Source organism: Homo sapiens, chromosome 8, assembly GCF_000001405.40.
Source record: "Homo sapiens chromosome 8, GRCh38.p14 Primary Assembly".
Lineage (NCBI taxonomy): Eukaryota > Metazoa > Chordata > Mammalia > Primates > Hominidae > Homo > Homo sapiens.
This window is the reverse complement of record NC_000008.11, coordinates 48,170,254-48,182,283: the sequence shown is the minus strand read 5'-3', so window position 1 is coordinate 48,182,283 and position 12,030 is coordinate 48,170,254. Positions and strand designations below refer to the sequence as shown.

Here is a 12,030-nt window from a genome sequence, read left to right as displayed (position 1 = left end):
CAACATATGCAAATCAATCAATGTAATCCAGCATATAAACAGAACCAAAGACAAAAACCACATGATTATCTCAATAGATGCAGAAAAGGCCTTTGACAAAATTCAAAAGCCCTTCATGCTAAAAACTCTCAATAAATTAGGTATTGATGGGATGTATCTCAAAATAATAAGAACTATTTATGACAAACCCACAGCCAATATCATACTGAATGGGCAAAAACTGGAAGCATTCCCTTTGAAAACTGGCACAAGACAGGGATGCCCTCTCTCACCACTCCTATTCAACACAGTGTTGGAAGTTCTGGCCAGGGCAATCAGGCAGGAGAAAGAAATAAAGGTATTCAATTAGGAAAAGAGGAAGTCAAATTGTCCCTGTTTGCAGATGACATGATTGTATATCTAGAAAACCCCATCGTCTCAGCCCAAAATCTCCTTAAGCTGGTAATGAAACACTTTTTAAGAAGTCTACTGTAAGCCACCATGCTCTATAGAAGCCAAGGCTGAAATCTCAGCTGACAGCCGGTGTCAATCCTCAGGTAAGTGCGTAAAGATGCCTTTGGATGACTCCAACCTCTGGCTATGGAGTCTGTCAAGAGAAAGCTCCAGACATCATGAAACAGAAACAAGCTATTTCCATGGTGACTTGACAGGATTCTGATCTACAGAATCAAAAATATAATAAAAATGACGATTGAAAGCTACTAAGTTTGAGGGTAATTTATTATGTAGAAAATGAAACACTTGCCAAAGCTGACTTAAGATAAAATAGAAATCCTGAACAGTCTTATGACTATCAATGAAATTATTTCATAGATCATGGTTTTAGTGTTGCATTTAAAAGGTCATTGCCAAACCTAAGGTCATCTAAATTTTCTCCTGTGTTCCTTGGCCATACCACATCTACTTGATTACTATAGCTTTATAGTAAATTTTGAAATGGAGTAGCATCGGTCCTCTGACTCTGCTCTTTTTCAATATTGTGTTAACTATCCTAGGTCTTTTACCTTTTTATATAAACTTTAGAGTGACTTTCTTGATGTCCATAAAATAACTTGTTAGTTGAGGCATGTTTCTGGCTTGCCTAGAGTCCAGCTCTCATCTGCCTCATGCCCCTGGAGAGGAGCCTTCAGTCCCGGTATGAGTTTCTCTAAGGCATCTGATTACGTCTAACTCTCTAATCAAAGGGAACGAGAAATAATGTTCACCTTATTCTGTAAACCTAACAAGATAGAATGGCTATTCTGTTTCAGAGGTGAGAAACCTATGAAATAACATATTTCTATCAAAACATCATAAACACTTATGTCACGTAAAATCCTGAGAAAGGAATAAATACCTAAAGGCTTTGGGTAAACATCTTTTACCTTTTGCATTTCCATTCTCAACTACAGACTACATTGAAAGCCTAAGCAATAACACAGGAGGGAGGCAGAATAATGGTCCCCAAAGATGGCCAGCACCCTGATTCCCAGAACCCGTGAATATGTGACGTCACATGGCCATAGGGAATGGAGGTGGCAGATGGAATTAAGGGTGCTAATCAGCTGGCCTTAAGAAGGGAGATTATATTGTATTATCAGGAGGTCCAATGTGATCACAGATCCTTAAATGTGGAAAAGGAGACCAGAAGAGCCCATCTAGGTGATGTGATGTGAGGAGGAACTGTCACTGCAGGCTCAGGTAGAGGAAGGGGCCATGAGTCAAAGAATTCGGACAACCACTTGAAGCTGGAAGAACCGTGGGCTTTCCCCTCAAACCTGCAGAGAGGAACACAGTCTGGGCTACATCTCCATTTTAGCCAAGTAAGACCCATGTTGGACTTCTGGTGCATAGAAATGCAAGCTAACAAACTTGTGCTGCTTTAAGCCACTAGGTCTGTGGTAATTTGTTACAATAGCAACAGGAAACTGATATGCCATGATCATTAAATCTATAAAGTAAAGCATATTCTGAGAAATATTAAAAAATAATTTTTCAAATCTTACTTGATATTTCAGACTATTAGTAAAACTGTTTTTGATAGCATGAATTTCAAGAATATAGTGGTTGTTATTCTTAATTTATCCCCTTCTCCTTCTCCTCACTCTCCCCCACTTTAGTTTCCATGTTATTGTGAATTGTAACTTAAGGTTGAGTTGAAAGACCACAAAATGGAAAGCTGTTATAAGTGGTTCCCTCAAATTTCCTGGACCTTGGGAAGCAGAGCCATGTGACTGCTTTTCTGGTTTGACCTAGCTAATTCTCTGTTCATTGGTAGCCTTGGAATCCTTTATTATGAACATACAACATAATAACCACTTTCTATTTTTAAAAAATGGTTAGTAGTTTCTTTGGATCAAAGCAAAACACAAACTATTCCACATTAAAACTTCTCTTTTAATGAAAAAGGTTTTTTCAAGCCCAGTTAAGAAAAAAATAGTTTTCTTAGTCCTCTCCATCTTTGCAGTGAGTTGTTTTTCAGTTTCACTTTGGCTAAGGACCCAAATGTATGTAAGTCAAATGTAAATAAAATAAGTCAAGGCTAAAAAGATCTCATTAAACACATGTCACCAAAAGCAATTAGCAGATTTATTAATTTTTTTGCATAGTTTTTTATTCCTAGCATTAATCGTGCATGTAACTAAAGTCTTCTTGATTACATCCTTGAAAAATGTGTGTCTATTTCTCAAGTCTCACATGGCAAAGACCCAAACTGCCAGCTCTGGTTAAGGCCTTTACTTAAAAGTATAGTATAAAAGAGAAAAGTTAATTTGCCTGCTTAGTCAAAATAAGAGATGCCAAGGCCTTCCTGAAAAAAAAAAAATGTATATTTTTCGATGGCCAAGAAATGAACAATGGGTCAATAATCCCTTCCCAAGTACAGAGTGCGGTGCAGTGTGGGCCTGCAGTCTTGTGACAGTGTCTCCCGAGCTGCACTGCAGGGTGGCAGGTCCTCCAGGGGAGTCCCAGGACCGTTGGCAACCTGGTCCACTGCCCCTCCCACGGGCGGCACCTGGAGGTGAACACTTGCCGAGGGAGGATGAATGCCGGAGTGAGTCTGAACCGGGAGCCTACCCAGCCACTGCACGCAGAGCCCAGGGGGAGCCACAGGAAGATCCTTCACACCTTCCAGCCCTAAAAGCTTGCAGGAACGATGAGGTTAGAACTCAGACATGTCCAAGGCAGAGGCAGGCGAAAGAATTCAAGTAGAAGTGTTCACTAGGCTCTTGTACAATAGGCACTGTGATATCAATATGGAAATTGATGTTTACCAATGAGAATGAAGCTGTGGCAAAACAGCCCTCCACAAGGAGAAGAAGGTGGGGTCTGGCTTGGCTAGGGGAGCTCAGTCCCACCTACAAGGAGGCTGTCGGAAGGAGCAAAGGCAGAGCAACAGGGAGGGCAGGACACAGGGCGAGGGTAGTTCTGGGAGAACAGCACACTTTGCTGTGGTAGTCTCAGGAATTCACCCTGGTTTTCAGGCTTTGGAGGGTCCTAACCAGAAGTTGAAGCCTAATTATAGTCTCTTCCTTGAGGTTTCTGAGATAGCACAAGACTTGCATTTGCAAAATAAGACTATAGATGTCATAAATTACAAGCAGGAAAGTTGAAAGTGCCCACTGCCTCTCCTTTCATCCAAACTTGTCTTGTTCAGACGAATTTTTTGCTTTCAGATGAAAGATTCTACATTCATAGAAGTCAGTCTCATATAGTGCCAGGGGATCACTTTGTATAGAAAAAAGGAACAGAAAGATTAATAACCCAAAGGTGTTGTGCTGAACAGAGGTAATGCAGAGACATGAGAAGGTTTGGGATGGGACCAGGAGCACCACAGTGTTTTTCAAAATTGCTTCTCCCACATTCTTTCAAAAGGTTATTCTTCTCCTGAGTGCCTGTTTGGTAATTTTGAACTCTAGCTATTTTCTTTCTTATTGACTGTTTATCTGTCCCAGACTTCCACTATATTACAACGCTTCAGTTTCCTGCATTTGGGTTCAGCTTTATTACATGACAAATATTTAGACATTTTATTAACAACCTCAGTAAACATGACCTATCAAAGGGACATGGCAACAACTCAAACATTAAATCACACACACACACACACACACACATACACACACATGGAAGTGACTGAGAATTCAGTTCAATTCCTCATATATATTACAGGTCTTGGGTAATCTCAGTGGAACCTGCTAGGAGAAAATCTTTGCCTTTAGGCATTTTCTATTTTCATTTTCAACAGCAGAGAAAGAGGAAAAGAAAGAAAACCGAGTTTTATATGTAATAAATGTCCAACAATGCTTATTTATCCAACAATGCTTATTTATACAATTTAAATATGAAATCAGCCCTCCTCACAGACACCCCGTAAGAACACCAAGATTGAGAAGCTAAATCCAGGCCTCATACATAGTAAGAGCGAGTGCTTCTGCCTGCCCTACTCCTAACGGCTTCTACTAGAAGGCTCTGGCCACCTGGCAATGGCGTTTCAGAGCCAGGGCTTTGGGCAAGGCATACCTGGAGTTGGCTTCACCAGCTGTCCGCTGTGCAGACCTGGGCTGACCCCATCATCTCTGCCCTTTCCACTGCTTCAGTCCTCCTTACTAGAAAATGGGGCTTGAAATGTCTTCCTCATGGGATTCAATTAGACTATACACATGCATGTCAACATACACATATATGGTAGTTAGCACACTGCCCACAACATAGTCAGTGCCTGCGGAAGGTTAGCCCGTCCCAGCTCTGGTGGTAGCAAGAGTCATAACTCTCTGAAATACCTTCTCAGCAATAGTTAAACACTCCGCGTGTGAGGAGCAGACGGGTGTGCTTCGGTCACTACGCCTGGCCTTCGAATCTCTGCCCCTCCCGGGAGCCCAAGCTCAGCAGCATGGAAGGCTCTGAGCATTCCTCCTCTGAGAACTGCAGCCCTCATGCAAACACAGAGGCCAGAACACTCGTGCAGCCCCGACAGAGTTCTATGGTCACACCAGCCCAGGGTCAGAGGCGAGCCTGGGTCCCGGCTTTCTGCAAAGACTGGGTATTCTCCTGTCACCCCAACCCCGACTCCCCAGTCCCCAGGCCCCCCTCCAGAAGGCACATATCACTGTGTCCCTCACTACTGGGCCTCAGAGGTCTCCCTAGCACAGCAGGACCTGGCTCTGTGGGGCTCCAGTTCCTCCGCATTTGGTGAGAATCTCTCAGAAGTTTTCCTTCTTGTGTCCCTGGGGCTGGACGTAGGAAAACACAGAGCCACCCCGCAGGGGCGATTCCAGGATCATGACTTACTCTCACACAGCCCCAAACCCCAGACAGGATGAATGTGACAGATGCTGCAGGTGGGCACAGATGGAGAAAAGGAGTTCCTTTCAGTCACGGAAGAAGCCAGCAGTAGCATTAAAACTCCAAAGGACTAGCTTCCTTGTCTTCTGCATACAATGCCTTCAAGAAATAAATATGCCAGCCTGGCCTCAAGGATGTCTAATACCCCAAAATTTTAAAACTAAATAATGTATAATCACACTGAATTATATGTGCTGGGTGCTATCCTTAGAGCCTTACAAACATTTTCTTTTTCACAGCAATCCTAGGAGGCAGGGGTTACGATTATTACCTTTTACAGAAGAGAAAACAAAGGCTCAGAGTAGCTGCCCCAAGTCACACAGCCGGGAAGCCACAGAGTTAGAATTCAAAGCCAGGAGCATCGGATGCTCAAACCCATGTTCTCACTCTACCAGAATGTGGCATGACACCCTCTTCCCTGAAGTTTGCATGGAGAGATTGACAAGGCTGCAGATTTCACGGGTAAAAACAACATTACACGGCAGGAAGGGTAAGGAAGGGAAGACAGCACACACCGGCGAATTCCCGCAGCCCATTCACACTTGCAAACTCACCCAGCACCCAACTACATCAAAATGGGGCTGCTTACTCCTTGGTTCTGATCACAGTTTTGTCCTGGAAATTTTCTGGTACAGACTGAAATAAAAGCCACTCCAGGACATGAAGAGAGAGGACGTCCCTGTGATCTTCTTCCAGCACCAGGGCGTCCAGGGGTGACCTGTGCTGGCCACACTGGGTGAAACCAGGGAGACCTGGCCTGTGACCTAACATAGCAAGAATCTGAAATTGGGTAAATGCATGAGGACAGGCCAAAGGTCAATGCCCACTTCCACTCAGCCATAACAAAAGCAAAGTTTTGAGTTGTTTAAAAATATACACACACCTACTTTGCTAACTCTACAGCCAACTAGAACTAAATCCATCTACATTCAAAACATAGCAAAACTTTTCAAAAACTTATCAAACTACTGCTTTATACAGACAGCATGCAGCCATGGAAGGGCGGGAGCCCTACGGCTGGGCAGGCCAAGTCTGAGTCCCGGCACTGCTGCTGACCAAAGCTGCGACACCCCAGGCAGGTGACTTGCCCCTCAGCCTGTGGGACCTCATGGTCCAACAAGGAGAGAATACTGGTACCTGCCAATTAAATCAGATTAAAGGAGATAGCATGTCTAGAACACAAGGCTTGGGACATATGCCCCTTTTCCTCCACTCAACCAGATCTGAAATCAGATTGATCATTTCTTTGGCTCAAGTTCCCATATCCAAGGTCAACCCGAAGCCACATAATCTCGCATCGGAAAGCTTATCTCAGGCTCTGACCCAGCGGGCTCAGCCCTGCCCCCGCCTAATTGCTCACAGTGTGGTAATGCCTCCTGGTTTCATGTGCTTGACTAAATCTACTCAGCCTATAACTACGTCCTTCATTATAATTTAAGAACCTAGCATTTAATAAGCAATGACACCAGCCAAACTGTTATTAAGAGTGAATCACTAGAAACCTTTGTTTTCCACTATTTGGGTTCAGATGGGAATGGTCCAGCATTAAGATGCTCAGCACACAAGGCTTTAGCCCAGAAGGAATTTTTTTCCTCTGAAAATTGAGGGCAAACTATTTGGCTGTTTCAAAAGCTAAAAATAAATATAGCTTACTGGTTGCAAACACTGTTTGTGGCAGTACAGCTCCAAGACCATTTCAGTTTGGAAGCAAGTTATATTTGGCAAGCAATTAGGCCCCAAAACGTTCTAATTGCTTCATCTATTTTCAATAACAAAATAAAAAATAGACAAAGTATTTTGATTAAAAAATTAACAACTCATAGGAAATTCTCATACGTTTTCATAAGGATATTAGTAACCTAGGTGGGGCCTAAAAGATGATCTTTTCGGCCACAGAAAATTACCCAACCAACCACAGTATTTTACCAAACATTTCAGAAATCAACTGCATTTACCCAAATGAGTGCTCAAGTCAGGATAAAAAGGAGGCTATGATCCTACACAGGGCCCTCTATTCAAAGCTGCACGAAACCACCGGACAAATGGTTTCTGTCTACTGGAAGCTTACCAGTGAAGAACCAAGAGATTTAGAACATGGATTAAACAAATATAAATTAAATAGTAAAGCAATGGAGTAATTTAAATGTGTTTTGATAACACATCATTCTAAGCTGGGATATAACGTTTGCTTAACCCCAGAGTCAGCAAGACCCTGTCCCCACGGCCTCGACCATCCCACGTGTTCTAAATCATCAAGTCGGCGGCTGCCAACCCCTTCTCCACTACACCCAGCCTCAGTGACCCCAAACCACTCTTCACCTTCCCAGTCCATCAGGCCCCTATGTCTTCTGACACACTTCTCAGCAGCTCACCACTACCTTCGAGAGCACTGGCCTCCAGTAGGACTCACCTCAGTCATGCAGAAACAGGCTTGCTCATGCTCTGCACACTGTCTGCACTGTTCCACACTCCCTTCCACCCGAGGAGCAGCCCCACCCACACTTCCGTCTACGGCCTAGCTCCTTCCTGGGGCCACCCTTGTGCTTACGGGACACCTGACACTGAATTGTGTTTAGTATACAACCAGTGTTGCCAAAGCATTGTGCTTACACCAGTGGCCACAAAGGGCCATGCAGCCATAGCTGGGGTGACAGGGCCTGGGCGTTATCAGAGCCCCTTCTGGTGGTGGAATCCAGGAACTCAAGCCTTGAGGCCCCAGTCCCCAAGAAACATAGGATCATTTCCACTGACACCACACCACAGGACACCACACCACACACACACCGCACACATCGCACTGCACCACACACACCACACACCACCATACCACATCACACACACCACCCAGACCACATCACACACACACAACACACATACATCACACACCACACACATATCACATCACACACACACCACACCATACCACATCACACACACACCACACACATACCACACCACACACACTACACTACATCACACACACACAGACACACAGACACACACACACACACCACTTGGGCCACATTCAGCCCAAGGCAATTCTCACCATATGTCTTCACATCTTCCCTGTTCCTTAAAACAAAAAGATAATTCGTGTGAAAGGTCAAAAAAATTCCAAAATAGTTCCAGAGGCCAATGTCCTGATTTACATACAATTCATGGTGAAAGTGGATTTCTCCTTCACATCAAAAAGTGATTGTTTGAATGAAAATTTGCCTAATTAATTCAATCATTAATCTTATTCAATAAGCTACTGTCAAAAGCTTGATGCAAAGGGCTTTTAGTATGAGTAAAGGCAGGTGGATGGCCCCCACTGTAAGTACTAAGCCCCCTTATTCATTGCCCATGGGCTACCCAAAACACTTTCAAGACTTGGTGGAGGACGAGAGGAGCCCTAGCAACTCCAACACCATGTGCTTGCCTTATGCAAGTGAATACTGGCTATGCTATGGTATGGTCTGCCTATTTATCCTCCAACAAAACTCATATGCTGAAACCCTAAACCCCAGTGTGATGGTATTTGGAGCGGGTCTTTGGGAGGTGAGGAGGTCGTGAGGGTGGAGTCCTCATGATGGCATTCGTGCCTTACAAGAAGCGACGCAGAGCTTGTTGTCTCTGCTCCCCGCTGTGTGCGGATAGACACGTCTGGAATCTGCCATCTGGAGGGGCCTTCACCAGATTTTTTTACAGCAGCCCAAAATGCGTAAGATAAGCTCTGTCACCCCAGCGTCCCTGGACTGACTTCATACACACACACACACACACACACACACACACACACACACACACTTCTGTGACTGCTTGACGTGGGGGCATTGCAGGTGGGAGCAGAAAGGCCACTCGTTCCCCTGGGCTGTTGTGTGGCCCTCCCCGACAAAGAAGAGGGATGAGTCCAGCCCCGCGGACCTTGCACACAATCCCCTTACCCAACAAGCATTTACGGTGGAGAAGACAAGGCGCTCCATGAGGGTGCTTCTGGAGGGTGGACAGGAGGAAGAGGGTGGCGCAGCCGGACCCTCACAGAAACCCCCATGGGGAGGCAGCTCCAGGAGCAATCAGTTGCTAGTTGGGGCCAGAGCCTGAAACAGCCACTCTGATTTAAATGCACCCAGTGAGGCATCTAATGAGTGAGCTGGGACCAGAACGGGGCTTCAGGAATTGGGTGTCCCCTCCCCAACTATGGTCCTCCAGGTAACTTCTAGGAGAGAGGACGTTGTGCCAGGCCGTGGCCCCCACCACTAAGGAAGGAGCGAGGATTATGGAGCTTAATGGGGTCAGGGGTGGAAAAGGGCAGCCCAAGGTGAAGAAGCAGGTAGACATTTTGTGAGGGGGCCACAAAGAGAAGAGAAAGGATTTTACCAACCTATTCACAGTCACGAGTGTTTCCAAATGGAAGGTGCCCTGAAATGCCAAGACAAAAGTTCTGAATTCTTTGTGAGTCTTACCCGGCGATATAGGAAAAGTCTTTGCAGTTTGTGAGCTAGGGGACAAACTTTTAACTGTGTTTGTGTGTTATCATATCCAAGACCTTTTGTTTCTTCTCAAAAAGTAATATTCTCTTGAGCAGCGCGCTGTTGACTTTGGATGGGAGTAAATGGAAGCCTGTCTCCTCGCAGAACTCAGGCAGCAGAGTTCTGCCCTGACACCTAGCGGATTCCGGGCTTACTGCAGCGCCGGCTTAGCAGTTCTCCGAGGCTTTCTCATTTCTTCTGATTTTTGTCGTACAGCTGCTCAGAACTCATTTGCTCCTCCCTAACAGCCTCAAGCTCCTTTAGAAAAGAGTGAAATAAACAATATGCACAATGTCTACTGTTTCTATATAGTCCTATTTTGCACCCAATTCTTGTTTCGCAGACCCTTCCTTCGCCCCCTCCTTGAATAGCAGCCACATGGGAGCCCAAGAGAGAGGGCCTCTGTCAGCCAGTCCTGGGGCCACGCTGAAGATGCTGCCAGATGTGGGCCTGACTCTAAAAGAGAACCAAGCCCTGTGTTTGACATTACAGGTAAAAAACAGAGGCAAATAACTATCAGAATATGGAGGCCAGAGTTCGTATAAGAAGAGAATTCCAAATGAAAGAGAAACAAGCCAAGCATGGTGGCTCATGCCTATAATCCCAGCACTTTGGGATGCTGAGGCGGGCGGATCACTTGAGGTCAGGAGTTCCAAACCAGCCAGGCCAATATAGTGAAACACATCTCTATTAAAAATACAAAAGCTAGCAGGATAAGGTGGCAGGTACCTGTAATCCCAGCTACTTGGAAGGCTGAAGCAGGAGGATCATTTGAACCCAGTAGGCGGAGGTTGCAATGAGCCAAGATCACACCATTGCACGACAGAGAGAGACTCTGTCTCAAAAAAAAAAAAAAAAGAAAGAAACAATAAACATGTAGGTCAATAACCTTCACATATAAAGCCTCATATAAATAAACCAAAAAAATCCTTGGAACTCTATTTTTTTTTAGTTCCCTGCTGCCCAGACTAGAGTGCAGTGGCAGTGGCACAGTCATAGCTCACTGCAGCCTTGTACTTCTGGGCTCAAGCGATCCTTTTGTATCAGTCTCCCAGGTAGCTGAGACCACAAACAGATGCCCGGCTAATTTTTTTATATTTTTTTTTTGTAGAGATGGGGGGTCTCACTGTGTTTCTCCGAATGGTCTCGAACTCCTGGGCCTAAAGCAGTCCTCCCACCTTGGCCTCCCAAAGTGTTTGGATTACAGGTGTGAGCCACCGCACCAGGACAAACTCAATTTTTCTAAGGTGGACAAAGCACAGCAGCTGACAATTAGCAAAAGGGTAAACACAAAGTATTAGTGAACATTTGGAAAATGTTTCAATTAATGAAATAGTTAAAATAAGAGGGTACTATATTTTATGCATCCAATTTGCAAAAAGTATTTTTAACTCAAGTCCCCAACTCGAATGCTGTCCGGGAAGCAGGAAACAGAAGCAGCAGCAGGAGGATGTGCTGGGAGGCTGCTGGAGAGAGGAGGCATCAGGACCAACTACAGGGATGCACCAAAAGCCTTTAAAATATGTGAATCCCTCACCCGAGGAGTCTCACTTTTGGGAATGCATTCTAAAAAAGTAATCTAGGTCGGGCATGGTGGCTCATGCCTGTAATTCCAGCACTTTGGGAGGCCAAAGTAGGTGGATCATCTGAGGTCAGCAGTTCGAGACCAGCCTGGCCAACATGGTGAAACCTGTCTCTACTAAAAATACAAAAATTAGCCGGGCATTGTGGCATACACCTGTAATCCCAACTACTCAGGAGGCTGAGGCAGAAGAATCGCTTGAACCCGAGAGGCGAAGGTTGCAGTGAACCGAGATCGCACCACTGCACCCCAACCCGGGAGATAGAGCGAGACTCCATCTCAAAAAAAAAAGAAAAAGAAGTAATCTAAAATGTGGAAAGAGCAGCCAGCCAACATCATACTGAATAGGCAAAAGATGGAAGCATTCCCCTTGAAAACTGGCACAAGACAAGGATGCCCCCTCTCACCAATCCTATTCAACATAGTATGGAAGTCCTGGCCAGGGCAATCAGGCAAGGGGAAGAAAGAAAGAAAAGGCATCCAAATATCCAAATAAGATGAGAGGAAGTCATCATTGTTTTCAGACGACAAGATCCTATATCTAGAAAACCCCATCATCTCAGCCCAAAAGCTTCTTGTGCTGATAAGCAACTTCAGCAAAATCTCAGCATATAA

The 12,030-nt window shown here is 44.9% G+C and overlaps 2 annotated features.

Annotated features, from left to right (window-relative positions):
• Positions 2,442–2,941: an enhancer, noted in NCBI's record as "H3K4me1 hESC enhancer chr8:49091903-49092402 (GRCh37/hg19 assembly coordinates)". NCBI's record gives its function as "activates a minimal SCP1, AML or CMV promoter by ChIP-STARR-seq in primed H9 embryonic stem cells {active_cell/tissue: H9 hESC(primed)}" and the evidence as "EXISTENCE:reporter gene assay evidence [ECO:0000049][PMID:30033119]".
• Positions 2,942–3,443: an enhancer, noted in NCBI's record as "H3K4me1 hESC enhancer chr8:49091401-49091902 (GRCh37/hg19 assembly coordinates)". NCBI's record gives its function as "activates a minimal SCP1, AML or CMV promoter by ChIP-STARR-seq in primed H9 embryonic stem cells {active_cell/tissue: H9 hESC(primed)}" and the evidence as "EXISTENCE:reporter gene assay evidence [ECO:0000049][PMID:30033119]".